At 43.4% G+C, this 21,174-nt stretch overlaps 1 protein-coding gene across 12 annotated transcripts in view, besides 3 other annotated features; it reads left to right on the top strand.

Moving 5' to 3' along the window:
- The window catches only part of PLCH1 (phospholipase C eta 1), a 294,138-nt gene continuing 285,820 nt past the window's right edge, over positions 12,857 to 21,174 (top strand). For 11 of the 12 annotated variants that reach the window (XM_017005927.2, XM_047447747.1, XM_047447746.1 and 8 more), the window contains exon 1: positions 12,857 to 13,088. The gene's annotated coding sequence lies outside the window, so the exon portion shown is untranslated. Of the gene's footprint in view, positions 13,089 to 19,972; positions 20,178 to 21,174 lie in introns of those variants that run through there. The other variant, XM_011512560.4, reaches the window with a different exon arrangement.
- Positions 12,895 to 13,104: an enhancer, noted in NCBI's record as "active region_20720". NCBI's record gives its function as "activates an Ori minimal core promoter by ATAC-STARR-seq in GM12878 lymphoblastoid cells {active_cell/tissue: GM12878}" and the evidence as "EXISTENCE:reporter gene assay evidence [ECO:0000049][PMID:35858748]".
- Positions 12,895 to 13,620: a biological region, named in NCBI's record as "H3K27ac-H3K4me1 hESC enhancer GRCh37_chr3:155462097-155462718".
- Positions 12,999 to 13,620: an enhancer, noted in NCBI's record as "H3K27ac-H3K4me1 hESC enhancer chr3:155462097-155462718 (GRCh37/hg19 assembly coordinates)". NCBI's record gives its function as "activates a minimal SCP1, AML or CMV promoter by ChIP-STARR-seq in naive H9 embryonic stem cells {active_cell/tissue: H9 hESC(naive)}" and the evidence as "EXISTENCE:reporter gene assay evidence [ECO:0000049][PMID:30033119]".

Below are 21,174 nucleotides of genomic sequence, written 5' to 3'. Positions count from 1 at the left end.
ATAACCATGGTAGAAACTTTCCCTGCTGATGAGCATGTGCACTCCTCCAAAAACTCACCCTAGAGTAGCCTTTTGTTCATTATAATAGTAAAAAACACACCCCTGGGTGGAGATTTTAAATGCTAATGAGACATGCGACATGTGTACCAGCATGTACAACCACAGAGCGTGCATGCCCAAGGAGACCTCCTGAAACATGCTTGCGAGTAACATTCCCCTCATGCCCCTTTGTGAATAATCATGTAAGATTCGCGTAAAGAGAATCCTCCAGCACTAGCTGCTGCTGGCTTTTTTTTGTTGTTGTTGTTGTTGTTTTACACAGAGTCTTGCTCTGTCACTCAGGCTGGAGTGCAGTGGCACAATTTTAGTTCCCTACAAACTCTGCCTACTGGGTTCAACTGATTCTCCTGCGTCAGCCTCCCGAGTAGCTGGGACCTCAGGCACGTACCACCACACCCAGCTACATTTTTGTATTTTTAGTAGAAGCAGGGTTTCACCATGTTGGCCAGGCTGGTCTTGAACTCCTGACCTCAAGTGGTCCACCTGCCTCGGCCTCCCAGAGTGCTGGGATTACAGGTGTAAACCACTGCACCCGGCCTGCTGCTGGCTTCTTATTTCAGCATGTACTGTCTCTTTACTTAAACATTACTACTACTGTTTTTCCAGCTGAAGCAACCTAGAGCTGTTTTTCACTCCTTTCTAGGAATATACTTTATCTTCCTTCAATAAACTCTGCTACTTAACCCTTGCTATGCGTATCTTGGCTGAATTATTTCTTCCAAGTTAGACTAGAACTGAGGATTCCCACACTTCCTGGTAACACATTGACATAAAGAGACTACGTGGTTCGAGAAGCCAAGAAACAGCAGTGTTCCAGACGTTCAGGGCAGCAACAGAAACAGTATTGCTTAGCCACCATTAAAAGAGATGACAGGGCTAGGCATAGCGACTCACGCCTGTAATCCCAGCACTTTGGGAGACCGAGGTGGGCAGATCACTTGAGGTCAGGAGTTCGAGACCAGCCTGGCCAACATGATGAAACCCCGTATCTACTAAAAATAAAAAAATTAGCTGGGCGTGGTGGCGGGCGCCTGTAGTCCCAGCTACTCCAGAGGCTGAGGCAGGAGAATTGCTTGAATTCAGGAGGCGGAGGTTGCAGTGAGCTGAGATGGCACCACTGCACTCCAGCCTGGGTGACAGAGGGAGACTCCTTCTCAAAAAAAAAAAAAAGAAAAAAGAAATGACAGTTATACTAAGGGACTGGCTACACGGCTGGGATAGTTGAGGAGGAGCTGGTTTCCTAGGAGATGGTTTCTTCATGATATGGAGCTTCTCTAAAGTCACTACCAAGGCAGCTATTTCTTTTTTTTTTTGAGACGGAGTTTCACTCTTGTTGCCCAGGCTGGAGTGCAATGGCACAATCTCGGCTTACCTCAACCTCCGCCTCCCGAGTTCAAGTGATTCTCCTGACTCAGCCTCCTGAGTAGCTGGGATTACAGGCATGTGCCACCATGCCTAGCTAATTTTGTATTTTTAGTAGAGATGGGGTTTCTCCATCTTGGTCAGGCTGGTCTCTAACTCTTGACTTCAGGTGATCCACCCACCTCGGCTTCCCAAAGTCCTGGGATTACAGGCATGAACCACCGCGCCCGGCCACCAAGGCAGCTATTTCTATGAAGGCAAATCACAGGGAGAAAGTAATACAAATTTATTAATATGAAAAGGCTGAAGAAAAAACCTCGAGATTAAAATTAAAATGGTTAAGGCCGGGTACAGTGGCTCATGCCTGTAATCCTAGCACTTTGGGAGGTCAAGGTGGGTGGATCACCTGAGGTCAGGAGTTTGAGACCAGCCTGGCCAACATGGTGAAACTCTGTCTCTACTAAAAATATAAAAATTAGCCGGATGTGGTAGCGGGCACCTGTAATCCCAGCTACTCGGGAGGCTGAAGCAGGAGAATCACTTGAACTGGGGAGGTGGAGGTTGCAGTGAGCCGAAATCATGCCACTGCACACCAGCCTGGGTGAAAGAGAGACTCTGTCTAAAAACAAACAACCAAACAAACAAAAAACTAAAATGGGTTAAGAACAAAGCTGGGCGAGGTGGTTCACAGCTGTAATCCCAGCACTCTGGGAGGCTGAGGCGGGCGGATCACCTAAGGTCAGGAGTTCGAGACCAGCCTGGCCAACATGGCGAAACCCTGTCTCTACTAAAAATACAAAAATTACCCGGGCATGATGGTGGGCGCCTGTAATCCCAGTTACTTGCAAGGCTGAGACAGGAGAATTGCTTGAACCCAGGAGGCGTAGGTTGCAGTGAGCTGAGATTGTTGCGCCACTGCACTCCAGCCTGGGCGACAGAGCAAGACTTTGTCTCAAAAAGAAAAAAAAAAGGTTAAGAACAGAAATTTAACAGTAAAATAGTTAAAGTGCTTTTTAAATGAACAAACTATATTTTCTTTTTCAAGGTGGCAATTTGAGCTCATTCCTTTAACTTGCATTCCTCCCATTAAAATTACATCAAACTATTAAATATTAAAATTAAAAAATGATATTAATGATGGAAAATCAGGAAAGGTATCATTAATTAGCTAGATATTTTAACATTTTGCAAATTATGATGAGGTGGTATTTTAACGAGATACTGATGACTTGAGTTCATTATTATACTTCTGGAAAAAAGGTAGGCTTTATCTAGTAAGTAAGTGGGTGGGATTACCCAATTACAATCCAAAAAGCCCATCCACTTGTTTGGGATCTCTGAGAGGTATTCCCTTTTGGTCAGGTCTAGAGGTAGTTCCTCATGATCTGGAAGCCTTAGTTCAAATGTCAATGCATCCACTATATAATGCAAGGGAAAATAGAATGTCAGTAGTCCACAGCTCTGTCTTATCCTGCTGGAGAGGAATAATGATAGCTCCTGGTCCTAGTTGTGTGCGTTTCTTGGTCATACCATCTGGGTGCCTCAGTTCTGTTCTCTGTAAGATCATCCTTATCCTCCATGGCCTCTTCAAAAATAGCCATTGGAGCAGATCCACCTTTTGAGATCTGGACACCTCTTCCTGTTGATACGGGTTGAGAAGCCCAGGGATGGCTAAAGGGTTGAGAATCACAGGACTTTTATTCTTCCAGAGACTTAATCTTATATGGTTATGAGATTTACCAATTTACTGGGCAGGATGTAGGTCTTTGGGGATCTTCTGATCTCACTTGGTTCTGTTCTGAGTATTACTGCTTTGCTTCTTGTTCATTTTTAATGAACACATTGGAACATTGTTTTCCTTTTTTTTTTGAGGCAGGGTCTTGCTCTGTTGCCCAAGCTGGAGTACAGTGGCATGATCTAAATGCACTGCAACCTCTGCCTCCAGGGCTCAAGTGATCCTCCCACCTCAGCCTCCTGAATAGCTGAGTACAGGTGCGCACCAGCACCAGCACCACCATGTCCAGCTATTTTTTTTATGTTTTTTGTAGACACGGGTTTTGCCATGTTGTCCAGGCTGGTCTTGAATTCCTGGGCTCAAGCGATCTGCTGGCCTTGACCTCCTAAAATGTTGGGATTACAGAGGTGAGCCACTGCACCTGACCAAACACTGTTTTTCTTTTTTTTGAGACAGAGTCTCACTCTGTCACCCAGGCTGGAGTGCAGTGGCACAATCTCGGCTCACTGCAACCTCCGCCTTCTGGATTCAAGCAATTCTCCTGCCTCAGCCTCCCGAGTAGCTGATACTACAGATGCGTGCCACCAGGCCTGGCTACTTTTTTTTTGTATTTTTATTAAAGACCGGGTTTCAACATATTGGCCAGGCTGGTCTTGAACCCCTGTCCTCATGATCTGCCTGCCTCAGCCTCCCAAAGTGCTGGGATTGCAGGTGTGAGCCATTGCACCCGGCCCAAACACTGTTTTTCAATTGTAGGCTCTGCCTATTAGTGAGATGTGATATCAATTTAATGGGTTGCCACCAGCAATTAAGATAAAGGAACAGAACAGGATAAAATGTATCAGAATGCATTGAACATAGCAAAGATAAGTATTGTTTTGTTAATTTTTTGTTATAAATATATATATTTATGCACTGGTTTGCACTGCATAAATGTATGCATGAATGTATGCACTGGTTTGCAATGCAAAAATATGACATTATCGGTTACTAAAAGTCGGTACAGAAGATCTCATTTTCTAGCACACTCTTTGGAAGAAGGCTGATGATTTCTTTTCTTTCTTTCTTTTTTTTTTTTTTTACTTTTTTAGACAGAATCTTGCTCTGTCACCCAGGCTGGAGTGCAGTGGTGCAATCTCGGCTCACTGCAACCTCCGTCTCCTGGGTTCAAGCCATTCTCTTGCCTCAGCCTTCCTAGTAACTGGAACCACAGGTGCACGCCACCACACCCAGCTAATTTTTTAATTTTTAATAGACACAGGGTTTCACTATGTTGGTCGGGCTGGTCTCAAACTCCTGACCTCATCCGCCTGCTTCGGGTTCCCAAAGTACTGGGATTACAGGCGTGAGCAACCACGCCCGGCCAGCCTGATGATATCTAGAACTCAAGTGAAGACAGTGAGTAATTCAGACAGAAATGAGGTTTTTTAAAAATTCAGGCATTGGGATCATTACTTCCATTTTCTGCTTTGTTTTGGTTATCAAAACACTTTATTTCTGTGTAACTAGCAATGAAATTGAGTAATTAGCGCCCTCTTCTGTTCTGCAACACCGTACACCTATCTATTTTAGCCCTTGTTACATTGTATTGTAATTATTTATTTACATGTCTCTTCTCTCTAGTCCAAGGTATATTAGACTTTATAATTCAAACCATACTTACTGAATTTTGGATCATTTCTGCTCCTTCCACAGCAGGATTTAGCCCTGTTTCTTGCTCATATAGGGAACTCTCTAAATATTTGTTAAATAAATGAATGAAAGAATAAATGAATGGCCCATCACAGTGCTGCCTTGTCATTTTGACCAGGACCTTTTTTTTTCAGTCAGAATTTCCCCCATGCATCCCATCAGCCTACACCGTGAAGATTAATTTGCTGAAATGATCTGAGAGAACATTTTGTAAACTTGTCAAGTTTAAAAAGGGAGACATTTATTTTGGACAAAGCAAGCCCTCTTAATATGTAGCTAGTTTAATTATGCAAATAAGTGAAACAAAAACTAAATACAAATTTTGAGGTGCAGAAAAACTTTTGCTCTGTTTGTACAGAAAAATCCAACCATTTGTTTTCTGGTTAAAAATAAACAGGTGTTAGTAAGAGAGTGCACACCCCATTAGAATTCCAACTGGTAGGGAAATAGAAGAGTTTTCCTGGTGGTGTAAATTGCCTCCCCCCACAATGTCCCCCGTCTTTCAAAACTTTAGAATTTGCACTGTAACTCTTTCACCAGTGTCTTTCCTCATTTTCTGTCTACAATTCAGTTTGCTTGTCTTTCTAAACTTTTGTTCAATGTCTATAAAAATGGTGCTTCAGATTCTTTTAATTATATTATTGAATTCTACAGAATTTTTTAACAATAGTATTGGAGGGGGAACCCAGTATATTCCATGAGGGAAATATGTAGCCTCATAGTTTCAGTATTACTTCTAAGGCTGAATAAAGAAACTTCAATTAAAGGTCTGTCTTGGTGAGCAAGCTTTGACCATCTTGAAAGTTGCAGATATTGGCTCTGTGGGAGGTCTTTCTGGAAACAAAATGCACAGAGCTGAGTTGTGAAGCTCTTAGGAAGGAGGAAAAGGGGCTCTCTCCTTCTCTGACACTATTGTTTCCTCCAACTACTTCATTCCCCTTCCCACCACAGGAGAAATAAACAATCAAACAAGTTGGAGAAAAATAGAAAATGGGGAAAGTTCACTTTAATTAGCACACTTACTGCCTTTTAGAAAGTGTTCACCCGATTTTGCGAACTAAAATCTCCCAAAAAGTATAACTGAAGTTAAGAAAATCTTTGTTGAATAAAATTAACTTAGGCACAGCTATGCTATTTTCCCTTCACCCAGCATTCACAGGATGAAGTATTTTGCCAAGGCAGTAAAGTGGGGACCTATTATTTAGAATTCTGATATGTAGTCCAGGCTCATTCCTCAGTTTAACAATTTAGCTCATGTTTTCTCCTTATTTGTAAGGTGAAATGTGCATTTGCTTATTGCTTATAATATTTTTGACCTTTCCAGATAAAAGGGGAAAACAGTTACATAGGCTTTTTTTTTTTTTTGAGATGGAGTTTCACTCTTGTTGCCCAGGCTGGAGTGCAATGGCACCATCTTGGCTCACCGCAACCTCCGCCTCCCAGGTTCAAGCGATTCTCCTGCCTCAGCCTCCCGAGTAGCTGGGATTACAGGCATGTGCCACCACACCCGGCTAATTTTTTTTTTGTATTTTTAGTAGAGACAGGGTTTCACCATGTTAGCCAGGAGGGTCTCGATCTCCTGACCTCGTGATCCGCCCGCCTTGGCCTCCCAAAGTGCTGGGATTATAGGTGTGAGCCACCGCGCCCAGCTATATAGGCTTGTTATAGAAAAAATGTAAACAGCTGCCATTTAAAAATAAGTCATTAAAAAAAAGTTATAGTCTGTTGGTAAGAAATGAAAAATCAGAGTTTAGCCTTAAAAAGTTATTTTCCAGCAGAACACCTGTAGTTTCAGCTACTCAGGAAGCTGAGGCAGGAGGATTCCTTGAGCCCAGCAGTTAAGAGTCCAGCCTGGGCAACATAGTGAGAGCCCCATCTCTTAAAAAACATTATTTTCGGCTGGATGCCGTAGCTCATGCCTATGATCCCAGTACTTTGGGAGGCCGAGGTGGGTGGATCACCTGAGGTCAGGAGTTCGAGACCAGCCTGACCAACATGGTGAAACCCCGTCTCTACTAAAAAACACAAAAATTAGCCAGGCACGGTGGCGGGCGCCTGTAATCCCAGCTACTCTGAAGGCTGAGGCAGGAGAATTGCTTGAGCCTGGGAGGCAGAGGTTGCAGTGAACCAAGATCGCACCACTGCACTCCAGCCTGGGTGACAGAGCAAGACTCTGTCTCAAAACAAAACAAAACAAAACAAAAAAAACCCAACATTATTTTCCTCTGTATGCCAAAACATTTCCATTTGTAGACTTGTGGCTCAGGCCTGTAATCCCAGGACTTTGGGAGGCCAAGGTGAGCAGATCACCTGAGGTCAGGAGTTCACCTGGCCAACATGGTGAAACCCCGTCTCTACTAAAAATACAAAATTAGCCAGGCATGGTGGCGCATGCCTGTAATCCCAGCTACTTGGGAGGCTGATGCAGGAGAATCACTTTAACCCGTGAGGGGAAGGTTGCAGTGAGTGGAGATCGCGCAGTTGCACTCCAGCCTAGGGAACAAGAGCAAAACTCCGTCTCACACACAAAATAATAAATAAATAAATAAATAAATAAAAGTTTAAATAGGTTTCAAATGTTAACAGTAAAAATAATTGGCATATTTGAGAGCTCATTTTGTAGCAGGCATTTTGCTAAGGGCTTTGCATACACTGGTCTTATATAATTTACCATAAGAGGCATGCATTTCTTTCAGTAACCAGCATCATAGTACTGCAAAAATGTGTTAGTTTATGAATTTAAGTATTTCAGAGAATCTCCATATTCCTGGATAAAGTTGTCAAAATATTAACAATTGTTGAAACACAGCGACTAATACATAGGGTTTTATTATACTATTCTACTTTCGTGTATATATAAACACTTCCATGATAAAAAAAATCAAAAACACAAAACAAAACAACTCTTTCAGAGATCAGCTATCCTGGTTATGTTCCTTCCTCCCCATCTCCAGCTCCTGTCAGTTGGCCCCACATGGGGACACATGCTTCTTCAGCTGGGGAGGGAAAGATTGGTAGAACTTACAGTTGGCCATTACTACTCCTCTCTCCTCAGTCTCCCATGATGGATTTAGGAAATTCCTCTTCTGATCTACTTTGTAGATTAAGTCATATACATATGAATCAGTATAAAGGTGTTTCTTTCTTTGGCAGCAGATTTAAGAGAGGGCAGCCTAGGGAACATCTATTCTTTTTTTTTTTTTTGAGACGGAGTCTCGCTCTGTCACCCAGGCTGGAGTGCAGTGGCGCGATCTTGGCTCACTGCAACCTCTGCCTCCCGGGTTCAAGCAATTCTCTGCCACAGCCTCCCGAGTAGCTGGGATTACAGGTGCCTGCCACCATGCTTGGCTAATTTTTGTATTTTTAGTAGAGACGGGGTTTTACCATATTAGCCAGGCTGGTCTCGAACTCCTGACCTCATGATCCACCCGCCTCAGCCTCCCAGAGTGCTGGTATTACAGGTGTGAGCCACCGTGCCCAGCCCATATCTATTCTTTTTATTTGCCAGAATCTCTTCCTGCCTTCACTTGGTAGGACCAGCCCCTTTCATCTTGGGAACAAATCCTCCCTGGTTCCAAGCAGTTCTGATGGGCTGCTACTTATAATACCCCGCCTTCCTGGCCATAAGGGTGTGTGTATAATCAGGATCTGGCCACACATATACTCTACTTATTGTTGTCCACAGTAATTGACCTATGGATGGACACATGACCTAAGTCAGGTCAGTTCGAATCCTTTCCTACCATCTTATTTACAGATGGTAAAAGCAAAAAGGCCTCTCTAGCTGAGACGATTGAAACCTGGAGCTGTCTCTAGTCATGCTCTCCCCACCCCCAGCTTGTACAGAAAGCTCATATGGAATAGGAGAGAATAGGATCAAAACACTGAGAAAAGCAGAGACAGGGAAATAGTAGGAGCAAAGGTGAAAGTGTGAGAGTGACAAAAATTCCTTGCTTGGCCAAACAAACATTAGTCATGCTTCTGAGCCTTCTCCTGGGCCCATATGTGCGTTTTCTTGTAAAACTCAGTTTTAGAAAAGAGTTCTGCCAAGTCAGTTTAGCAAGAACCCCCACTCTCCATATCTGATCATTCTCAATATCTGATCAGATCCCTCATCCTCCACTATTGCCCAGGTCATGTCTGATCTCCCTGGCCTGTGTTCAGCAAGAATCCAGTTATGTCGGGTTAGCTAGAGTTCCTCATATTCCTGATGTTTCCTCTTAGTGATTTTTCATCCAGCAACCCCATCTGTTCTTTGTCTATAAATTCCAAGCTGCCTATGCTGTATTCTGCATGAGCTCCTTGCAGTAGTCCCTGTGCCGATTTCGATCGTGCTGGATAAAGCCTTCCTTACCATGCTTTAACACTGACTAATTTTTTCTTTAACAAGAGAAATGCTGATTCTGAATTGCTAGACTCCCACCGTTTCTGAAGTCCTTATCCTTCCCCCTATCTTAAAGTGGGAGTCAATACATCAGCTTTTTTTACTCAAGCTGGTTTGATAAGGGGTTTTGTTATTTGTACCTAAAAGCCGTGACCAATTTGTAGAGTAGGGCCATAAAGACAGGTACTACGCTCTACTTCAGGAGTGCTATCTATATTCCAGCTAAGGCTTACCACCTAGAGCAGTGCCTGGTACATGGCAAGTACTAAAGAAATATGTGTTGAAAGAGGAGTGCCTCTTCCTTGATACGCTTTTTTGGTCAATGGTTTTCTTAACTTGGTGCATTGATTAAAATAGGGAACATTTATCTCCTTTCCTCTCTTGCTCGTGGATATAACTCAAGATGGTTGCTGTTTAAATTTGAACACCTTAAATAAATGGCTCTTTTTGCAACTGGAAGCACAATTTTTGCACAGCTAGAAAAATCTTTTTCCAACACAGAAATTCCCAGTGCAGTTTTCTAAGAAACCCCCTACGATACGCAGCACAGCAGGCTCACCACAAGGCACATCAATCATTTTACTGTGTATCAGGCACCTCTTACAGGATTTTCTGTGATCCTGGTGTCAGTGCACATTCTGTATCAAGGCAGAGATGATATGTAGAAATCTGGCAGCTATTTAGAAGGGAGGCTGGGCAGTGGTGTGCCAGTATAATTAATGAGAGTCATCGCTTAGGAAATGAAGAGGGTGGGGGTTGGGAAGGATGCCTTTCACCATTCAATGGCATTTAAGAAAAATTGATGCTTTCTTAGCACTTTTAATGCTGGGAGGACATTAAGTCAAAGAATCACAGCAAAAGATTTTTGTAACTACTGTACAGATGGATGTCCCTGTGCTTGAAGAGGCAGGGCTAATTCAACCCCAGACTTTTCAGCCAGGCGGATTTCAACCTTGTATTGAGCTACCAGCAGGAGTTCTTTATACTTGGAAAAGTGGTAAATCCTTACTAAAAGATCATAGCTTGCATGACCAAGAGATCCTCTAGAAAAGGTACTTTACTACCATGTAGGATGTTTGTCTTACCTGCCCAAAGAAGTTTTAATGAAGATCTCATTTTCTCCAGTTCCCCTTTAACCAGTGAAAGAGGAGGGTATTATTTGTTTTGTTTTTCTATTTATTCTTTGGTAACCATGGAAGAGTTTGTGTAACCTAGAGAGGCTGCTTATTACCCACTGTCTAATCCCTTTGTTATTATTCCATACTCTGATTGTCACAAGCAGGAAAAATAGTTCTGTCCTGCTTCTAAAAACTTAGCAATGTAACACATTTTCTTGTTTTTAGTGATTTTCTCCAATTAATTAATTAATTGTTTTAGTGATTTTTCTCAGATAAATAATGTTAAAACGACTTGGAGAGAAAAGCTACATTAAAAGATTATGGATGTATAAATGTCCTAAACATTTAAGAACATGCATAATTATGATTCATACCAACTTCAGAATTATTACCTTTGGGAAGGGGTGGGGGTAACGAGTCAGGAGTTGGGGTTTAGCTATATCTGTAATGCTTTATTTAAAAAAGAAGGGCTGGGGGGAGCAGGAGTATTACATGGTATATATCCTGTTTTTGGTAGGTTTGAAATATCACACAATTTAAAAATTTAAAAGTTTACAAAATTATGGGAGTTGATTAAAACTATCAAAATAAAGAATGCATAGCAAACAAGTGCTCTTATTATGAACTTTGTGTCTGAGTTTATTTCAACATGTGCATCTGCATTTTTTCAGACTCAAGAAAGACAAACACCGGAGGTTAGGGGGTGAACTGCTGCTGTTGAGGGATTATCTTGGTGGTTTTTTTTTTTTTTTTTTTTTTTTTGGCTTTTCTATTCACCATGGAGGTTACCAGCAAAACAAATCTCCAACAAGCTTGTTTACAAAATATAAAGCAGTTTGGAGGCAGAGGGTTAATGACTTAATTTCTTATAAATTGAGGCTTGTGTATGGGCATGCAAAAAAACAAAAACAAAAACAAGTAAATTTGGGGAGGTTTCTTTCTATAGAGGCAAAGGACCTTACCTACATTTTTTCCAAATTGATTTCTTCCTGGTACTATTGGCAGGAAGAAATTCAAGTGGGTATTCTGGTGGCTTTTTTCTTTTTTCTGAGAGTCTAGGATTGTTTTCAGGACAAAGTTTCTTCTTGCCCATGGTGCTTTGCTGTGACATTGTAATTGCCTCTGTTGAATTGAATAATACAAATGGGTTGTTTCTATGGTATCGGCTAAGTGGGATGAAAAGGTGAAACCCTAGATCTTGCGCTGAGAGGTCACAGTGCTACCACCCTCCACACTGTCTGTCAAAGAGAACAGGCAGCCAAGGCCCTGAGCTCCAATCTCAGGCACTCATTTGTAACTTACTCGTTTGTAACTTCCTGGGCAAATTCACGCATGAAAAAAGAAAATGACTTTAGTTTATGTTGTCACTAAGCCCAGAAAATCCCTGCCAACCCCATGCTGCCAGCTTTCCTAGGACATTCTTATTGGAGGATTATTTTAAACTGAAAGGTGAGTGAAGAGCTGCGTCCCCACTCCTTCCCAGCCAGGCTTTGAACTAACAATAGGGCAGGTTGAATGAAGGCTGATAAATGTAAATCCTGGAATCCAGAAGCCGGATCACACCGCGGCCGTCTAGGCCAGCGGCGGTTCCAGCATCCGCCCCAAGCTGGTCACTCATCCTTTCAGTGCATTCAGTAGATTTCATCGTTTCATCAACACTTGAGTGCCTGCTTCGTGCAAGCTTTCCTCTGCCACCGCCGCCTTCTTACTCCCGGCAGGTTGCCCGCTTGAGTCAACCAGCCACTAAACGGATCTAAGTGAATAAGTGGCCTGTTAATGCCAAGGAGTAGCATTTCCAAATGAAGAGACTGGGGGTAAATAAAAGCAAAGTGTTACCATTTACACGCTCTCAATTTTAGTTGCACTTCACTCAGAGTAGATCTCTTTAATTTGCGGCATCGACAGATGCTATATTCTTAGAAATTTTTTTTTTTTAAAGGAGGTAAGACGGGCGTTTGAGAACACTTTTTACTTTGGTGCAAGTTGCACGCAGTTCCCATTCACTCAGAGTAGATCTCTTTAATTTGCGGCATCGACAGATGCTATATTCTTAGAAATTTTTTTTTTTTAAAGGAGGTAAGACGGACGTTTGAGAACACTTTTCACTTTGGTGCAAGTTGCACGCAGTTCCCATTCCCTGCGCCCTTCACTTCCAACTTTGTTTCTCCAACTCCTTTACCCCCCACCACCGAGGCCCTCTGGCTACAGCCCCGAGGGGTTACCCTGGGTTTCGAAACTTTTGAAACTTGCGGGGGAGTAAAAGTACTTCATTCCCAGTGCTTCTGGCCCTTGCCAAGCGGGGAGCCCCGCAGGAGAGTGTAAGCCAAGGGTTCCAGGTGCAGCCTTGGGGTTCCACGTGCAGCCCTAGGGTTCCGTACACCCATCCCGCCCGGGCCAGAGGAGGCAGCAGGCGCTCCAGTCCGCTCTCCGCAACTCCAGTTCCTGATTTCCTCGGAAGCTGCGGGGCCGAGAGGGAGGGGGGCTCCTGTGTGAGCGTGAGGATTTGAATGAGAAAGCAGGTTGTGGCGGCGGCGCCCTGCTCTTCCCCGCTCGTCTGGGGCTTCTGCTGGCTAGTGGGGAGAAGTGCTCTTCTAGGGGGGCTTTTCTGGCCCTTGGCAGGGGTTTGGAGTTGGAGTCACAGGGGCCAATAACTCATCACCCCAGCACTTCGGAGGTGGCTCCTTGTGCCACGGACTCCGAGGAGTCCTTCAGCTACTGAACACTCAAAGCTGAGGAGGTCAGTGCTTTCGGGGGAAGAAGGGGCCCAGGAGAGAAGGGGGTGTGCAGGAAAAAGAGAACTGGTACGCCAGTCCGATGAGCGAGTGAGCAGGTGGCCCAAGTTCCTTTCTCGGCAGCCACAGCCGGCACACGCCTGTTTAGGACTGTGAGTGCTGTGCGTGGGGATCCCCTAAGGCCCCGTGCGGGGAACTGGCCACGGCCGCTCTTCAGGGTCCCATAATTCAGAAGGATGAGGGTGGGTGTGTGTGTCCGCGAAATAATGTAACTCTCGGGTCCCTTGCGGTGGTGGTGGGTGGCGTTTCGCCCGGTGGAAGGTCCAGCCTCGCTGCAGGATGCTTCACCCTCACGCGGGGTCCCGGGACCCTCTCTCTGACCGCCAGACGCCGCCAGGAGAGCAGGTCCGCGTTTCCCAGCAAGGGGAGTGCAGCGTCCGTTACACTTGGGGAGTCTCACAGCTTTTCCTGCGCCCGGTGACCCTGCTCAGGACCTCTTAGAGACTAGGTGTGCTCAGCGCGAGGAGGATATACTCCATTGCCCTTTCCTGGGAAGAACCAAGAGCGCCCGAGCGGCGCGGGGTGGTGGAGGCAAACCCCGGCCCCGCGGCGGCACGCTCTGCGCCTGCGCGGCGTTTCCTTGGCGACTGAGCTGCGGGTCCGAGACGCCACCCCGCGAGCCCCTAAACCCAGTTCCCTGTTGAGCGTCTGCGACGCCCTCTCCCCTCCTTCCCGAGGCTTTTTCTATTTGTTTCCTTCTGCGAATCAATTTGTGATCACATTTTGACGTTGAGAGTTCAGCATTAAAGCAATAACCAACTAAATTAAAAAAAAAAACCCAACTTTTCCCTTCCCTTGTTACCGTTTTGATCACGGACAGAAGAAAATGGTGAGAGATTAGTTATTAGGGCAGCAATTGAAATCCCCCTCTGTCCCGAAAAGGGGAGACGAATAAAACATTTACTTCCTGGTAAGGAGTTAGAAAATTCAGTGAAGTGATTGTTCTCGAGCGTTACAAGAACAAATCTGTGCCTCCTAACCCAGGTGAAGAGCAGAGCTTGTACAACCCAGCAGCACCCATGTCCTGTTTATTGGCATGTTTATGACAAGGAGATGCTCTGCAAAAGGGACCAGAGTATAATGCCAATGAAAAGAAACAAAGGATTTCCCAGAAGAGGCGGTAGTTTTTTTCAGTTGCCTCAGCGTTTTGGTCACCTTTGGGGTTAAAGTCTTCTGCAGAGAATGCTTCAAGAAGCCTTAACAGAAGCCAGTTTTCTCAAGCTGGTCATTTTCTTTTTCTTTTTTTCTTTTTTGAGACGGAGTCTGGCTCTGTCGCCCAGGCTGGAGTGCAGTGGTGCGATCTCGGCTCACTGCAACCTCCGCCTCCTGGGTTCAAGCTATTCTCTTGCCTCAGCCTCCCGAGTATCTGGGATTACAGGCTCCCGCCACCACGCCCAGCTATTTTTTGTATTTTTAGTAGAGACGGGGTTTCACCATATTGGCCAGGCTGGTCTGGAACTCCTGACCTCAGGTGATCCACCCACCTCTGCCTCCCAAAGTGTGGGGATCACAGGCGTGAGCCACCGCGCCCAGCAGATGAGAATCATTTTCATTTTCATAAAATTGTGAATCTTGACAGCCCTATCCCCTCTTTTAAAATCCGTTTGTTTACATACAGCCTAGCATTTGGCAAAAGTACACATCTTAAGGGGTATGTAGAAGGAGCGGTAGCTTCTTGCTTATTTTTCTTAAACTGCATCAATATTTGGCAGCATGATTGGTACCTAGTTGCTATTTAACATTGGTTAGAATTAACATAAATGCTAATACAAATTTAAAATGGAGTTATTCTTCTTGGGATAAAGTGTGGCATAAAATACCTTGGATGAAGTAATACGTGAGTACTGTCTCGCTACATACCAGTTTCAAGCAATTTGTTTTCAAGAATAGCAAGTGTTTATTTGTGGTAGATGTTTTAAGATAATATCCTCCCACCATCAGCAAATGAAATCAAACATACCACTTTTCAAATGATTAGCGAGTAACATGCTGTTAAAGTTGTCTCCCATCTCATTTGTCATAAATTCTTAACATTGTGCAATCCATCTAGCTCAAATGTTTAAAAATAAGTCCAACTGAGTTTTTCCCCTTTTCTCATGTTTAGCAAAATAGAAAAACTCTTAATTTTCAGGTTCAGATACTTTGTGACCCTATTTGGTGGCTTGTAACTGGCTCCAATTCCCTAATTCTCAGTGACATGTGTTTCTGCTGGTTCCAGGAGGTAAACTGCAGTTTTAACAGATCATGGGATAATGAGACTGGGAGTACCTGGGGGAGGCTGGGGAGAGGCAATGGGAAGGAGACAAAGAGAGGGAAGGTTGATGGGCAGAGCGAGGATTTATAGTGGCACCAGATTTGCAATAAAATCTGTTTAAAGTTATTGCTTCCGTTTGATATATTTTCCCACATCATCAACTTCAATTAAATTTATTTTAAAAATCAGTCTTTCAGATATAGGGCTAGTATTATAAACATAGAATATGATAAAAGTGCTCCTTGTTAGGGTGCCATAATGTAAAATACTGTGAAAATTCTTAACGAAATGTTTTTTACTTAATTTATTCACTTAGTCAACAAATGTTTATTGAGAACGTATTATATATAAGGCAAGATGAATAAATCCAGATTTCTGTTCTGAATGAACTAAGAGCTGTGAGTCCTGAAATAATTCTAATACCACTTCAGACGTTCAGAGTGAAGATACTACCTTTGGTACTCTTAAGGAGAACGATTGATTTGGTGCTAATCACTCAGACTTGCAGATTCAGAAACAAATGCTGAAACTGAGTAATTTAGATAAGGCTGTACATCTAGGATAGGAAGCATTATGTGCACCTATTTGCTTACATTTTTGAAGTACAAACTCTACTCTAAAACTTGTAGTCTTGGCAAGTGCAGCACAGAGTTTAGAAGAAACAGAAACCTTGTAATTCTCAGGTTTCTTAGATGAAGATAAGGTGAGTGATTCAGTAATCCTTTGTTCTGGCTCTGTGTTTCATGACATAATGAACCTTCTGCAGCTTCCTTCTAAGAATGTTGGTCTGCATGCCTGAAGGATCATAACTATTTTTTCCCTGAACAAAAAAAAAAAAAAAAAAAAGAGGATATAAAATTATGATAAAAGGATAAAAGGAATACAATAGAGTATTTAAACATTTAACTTTTGAGATGGAATAATTTCTAGACATTTTTAGTGAATTTAAACTCTTGAAATCCATTACAGCCATGACAAAATCCTGGCATAATGTTGACCAGGGTTGACAAACATCTCCTCTTGTCATTCCTAGGACATAGACGGTTAGGGAAACTCTCATCTTTCCTTCACCACCTCATGAGTCTAAAAACAATGATAAACCCAGGGAAGCTTGCTGAAGAGCATCCTCCATTTGGTTATTGCTCTTTGTCTAGGAAAATCAGACTCAGCTGTGAATTGTGGACCAAGTGGTGCAGAACTCATTACTTTGAACAATGCCTCCTCGGCCTGGGAAGCATGTTCTCTCTTCTCACTAGCAGGGGCTTATTCCAGGCTGGCTTTGGTCACAAGGAAAATCATTTAGACACAGTTCAGTGGACACTCACTCACATCTCTTTGACACCCGTGACCATTTTTGTTTAAGGAGAAATCCAGTACTGCTGTGGTAGGGTGTGCCAAATTAGAAGTGCATTTTAAGAAGCCTGTGAAGAAGTTTACACAGCTTTATTTTATTATCATCAAGATCTCTGTCTTCTGTGCTTCGTAGTGGAAGAGGGCAGGATAGATGCAGAAGGGACAACCAAGATAACGTGGATAGCTAAGTTTAAAATGTTCTTACCAGCTATGTATTTTGGTGGCACTAACCTAAGTGCCTATGCCTTATTATAGTCATTAAATTACAGAGCAGAAAAAGATAAATCTACCATATGTATCGTATAAATCTGGAAGCCAGGGCCCAAAGTTGCTAAATGATTTTCTTAAAAGTCACACAGCTAATAAATGGCAGAATGGGGATGACAACGCAGAGTTACTGATTTCTAATGATCTTGTTGTTTTCAGGAAATCTAGGGAGGGCAGACAGATATTGAATCCTTGCTTTATTTTTTAAATACGATTTTTAATTTTAGACATGAGGTCTCACTATGTTGCTCAGGGTAGTTTTGAACTCCTGGGCTCAAGTGATCCTCCCTCCTCGGCCTCTCAAGGTGCTGGGATTACAGTTATGAACCACTGCTCCTGGCCTCGAATCCTTGCCCTAGATTTGCTATTTCCAACTATATGAAACTGCTATAGTTGTAAATATAAGGTGGTCAAACATCAGCAATGTCATATGATTTAACCTAATATTGTTGGGTAGAATTAACAGTGGTTACCTTCTTCTTCTTCTTTTTTTTTTTTTTTTTTGAGACAGAGTCTCTCTCTATCACCCAGGCTAGAGTGCAGTAGATCTTGGCTCACTGCAACCTCTACCTCCTGGGTTCAAGTGATTCTCCTGCCTCAGCCTCCTGAGTAACTGGGATTACAGGCGCCCGCCATCATGCCCGGCTAATTTTTGTATTTTTAGTAGAGATGGGGTTTTGCCATGTTGGCCAGACTGGTCTCGAACTCCTGACCTCAGATGATCCGCCTGCCTTGGCCTCCCAAAGTGCTGGGATTACAGGCCTGAGTCATCGCACCTAGCCAACAGTGGTTACCTTCTGACAATATCTTTTTATAAGCATGTGTGTATCATGAGAACACATATGGTACACACGCTATGTCTAAGTACAAAAAAGCTGTTTTTCATTTGGTATCTATTTTGGTCTGAGGAATTTTGGCATGATTGGGATTTACCATAAGGGGGGATAGTTTTTCTGGTTATTTATTGTTCTGTAAATATTTTAAAGGATTCTGGAAGAAAAGGAGGAAGTGAACATTAATGTATTCCTAACGTGATGGCACTTATTTTATGTCTTTTTATAATACACAATAATCAAGAGAGGCAGGAATTCTTATCCTATGTTACTGATGAGGTTCAGAGAGGTTAGTTTCTTGCCTAAGATGTAACATGGGACAGACGAACGTGGAACAGACTTGGAATTTGAACCCACGTCTGTCTGCCTCCATGTTCTGTTACATCCTATTACTACTCAGGAATGCAGTGGTAATAGGCGGGAAATTTGTGACAAACGCTGGGTTACTTTTATTTTCAAATTCACCATTTATGCAAAGTATAGACAGGTAGAGAGTTTCTGATAAGCTGTCTGGAGAGTAAAGAAACTGCATTCCCTACATGGAGTTTAGGAGGTTGTAAATTCAGGTCTGGTTCCAGAAAACATTCACGACTTTGTTTATAAACGATGTGGGCTATGTTTTTGGAAGTGGTGTTTAGGTTATGTGCTGTAGAGATTTTTCCACATCGACTTGCTCACTTACCACTTCTGGATTGTTGCCATCTTGTGGTGGGTCTAAGAGGATTCCTCATGATTTTAATGTGTGCTTTCTGACATCCTAAGATTTAGATGTTGGTTTTATCTAAATGTTGCCCGATTATTTTTCTTGAGGTAGTATTGATAGATTTACTGCTAGAATGGACCGGGTAGTGTTTTGCAATGTTTTTCAAACTGGAGATGAGAATTGCCTTGGACAGTTGCTGAAAATGTCTTAAGTTATTCCAGAAGCTGGAGTTTTGGTGCTCCTAAAACTGCTGTGGTACTGGGAAGTTGCAACTGGCTTGTACTGAGCTGGTTTTAGATTTGCAGTATTTTTGAGCTGGTTTCAGCATAAAGAAACTGGGCTCAGGAATGTCATCGTTCACACAGCCAATTGGTGGCTGAGTTGCGATGGATACCTAAGACACCTAAGTCTAGCATGCTTTTATTTTTGTATATTTTTTTGAGACAGGGTCTCCCTCTGTCACTGGCACGATCTTGGTTCACTGCAGCCTCCACCTCCAGGGCTCAAGAGGTCCTTGCCCCTCAGCCTCCTGAGTAGCTGGGACTACGGGCGTGTGCCACCATGTTATGCTATTTTTTTTTTTTTTTGGAGGTGGAGTCTCGCTCTGTTGTCCAGGCTGGAGTGCAGTGGGGGGATCTCGGCTCACTGCAACCTCCGCCTCCCGGTTTCAAGCGATTCTCCTGCCTCAACCTCCCTAGTAGCTGGCATTATAGGCACCCGCCAGCACGCCCAACTAATTTTTTTTTTGTATTTTTAGTAGAGACAGGGTTTCACCGTGTTAGCCAGGCTGGTCTTGATCTCCTGACCTCGTGACCCGCCTGCCTCGGCCTCCCGCAGTGCTGGAATTACAGGCGTGAGCCACTGCGCCCCGCCCCGCTAATTTTTAAAAGAAATTTTGTAGAGACAGGGTCTCACTATATTTCCAGGCTGGTCTCGAACTCCTGTGCTCAAGCAATCCTCCGACCTCTACCTCCCAAAGTGTTGAGATTACAGGCACGAGCCACTACTCCCGGCAGTCCAGCATTCTTAATAGCGCACCACACCTTAAAAAGCACACCCTTCTTCTGGGTCTTCTTTCTTCCCTAGTACCTGACTCCAGGCTAGAAGAAAATGCTAAGGGTTTCAAAAAAAGTGGGTGCTGGACTCTGTCTTGGAATTCAGCCTCTGCCTCAGACACCACACAGGTCCCTGGAGGGCTCTCTGGGTTTTGCTCTTTAGTTGTTTTCTGTAGCTTATTCTCCAAGCAGCCTCTTCTCTCTGTGGCTGGTTCTTTTGCACTGAGCAAGAGACTTACAAACTTGTCTAGCCTTACCCGGTCAATTGCCACTGGATGTCAGCGGGATCTAGTTTAGTGCCAGCGTCAGTGAGTTACTGATTAACTGATCCAAGGCACTCAAGGTTTCTCTTTCATCTGTCTTCACTTCCTTGTTGCTAGTCCACAAGAACCAAACATTTGAATTCAGCTTCCCACTTCCCTCTTCTCTCCCTCTTCAATTAAGTTGAAGAGGCTTCTGGACCTTAGATCTGCATGGAGTGCTAATAAAACTTCTGCAGAATTATTTCTGCTGGGAACTTGGAAGATCTACACAGGTTTTTCAGGTCAGAATCCTGGACCAGAAATTCAGTGAGTTGATTTGCTATAAAATCATATGCAATGTAGTTCTCCAGACATCCTATTTCTTTTTGCCAAATAGCTCTTTCTTATCTTTGAGTGATATAGGAGGTATTGAAAATTTATTTTTTAAAGAAGAGATTGCTTCATAGAACAGTAATGTGTTAATATAAGGAGTTAGGGTTATGTGAAGACCCTCTGATTTTTTAATTTATATTTGAGGGGGAACCACCTTTTCTTTTACACATACATAATATCTCTAGGAGGGCAGGGCATGGTGGCTCACGCTTGTAATCCCTGCACTTTGGGAGGCCGAGGTGGGAGGATTGTTTGAACCCAGGAGGTTGATGTTGCAGTGAGCTGTGATCCTGCCACTGCACTCCAGCCTGGGTGATAGATTGAGACCCTGTCTCAACAAAGAAAAAAGAAAAAAATCTTCAGAAGGATACACAAGAATTAAGAAGTTGATTACTAAGGGACAGAAGTCAGAGGTAAACAATTCACCATATACTCTTTTTTTTTTTTTTTTTTGAGACGGAGGCTTGCTCTGTCACCCAGGCTGGAGTGCAGTGGCGTGATCTCGGCTCACTGCAACCTCCGCTTTCCGGATTCATGCGATTCTCCTGCCTCAGCCTCGGGAGTAGCTGGGACTACAGACGTGCGCCACCACGCCCGGCTAATTTCTTTTGTATTTTAGTAGAGACGGGGTTTCACCGTGTTGCCCAGGCTGGTCTCGAACTCCTGAGCTCAGGCAATCCAGCCGCTTCGGCCTCCCAAAGTGCTGAGGTTACAGGCATGAGCCACTGTGCCCGGCCTGTATACTCTTTTATGCCTTTTGAATTTTGAAGCTTTCAACTTAATACATAAAATGAAAGAAAAAATAAAAACAAAGAAAGAAAAAGAGAATATATGGGTTTCAATAATAAATGAATAAATAAACGACTGTCTCTTAGCTCCTAACTGGTAGAAATAGGAGACTGGGAAGCAATTTTAAAGAAAAGAAAAGCAA

This window comes from Homo sapiens, chromosome 3 (assembly GCF_000001405.40).
Source record: "Homo sapiens chromosome 3, GRCh38.p14 Primary Assembly".
Lineage (NCBI taxonomy): Eukaryota > Metazoa > Chordata > Mammalia > Primates > Hominidae > Homo > Homo sapiens.
Note: the sequence above shows the minus strand (reverse complement) of the source record. Positions and strands in the feature narration are given on the sequence as shown.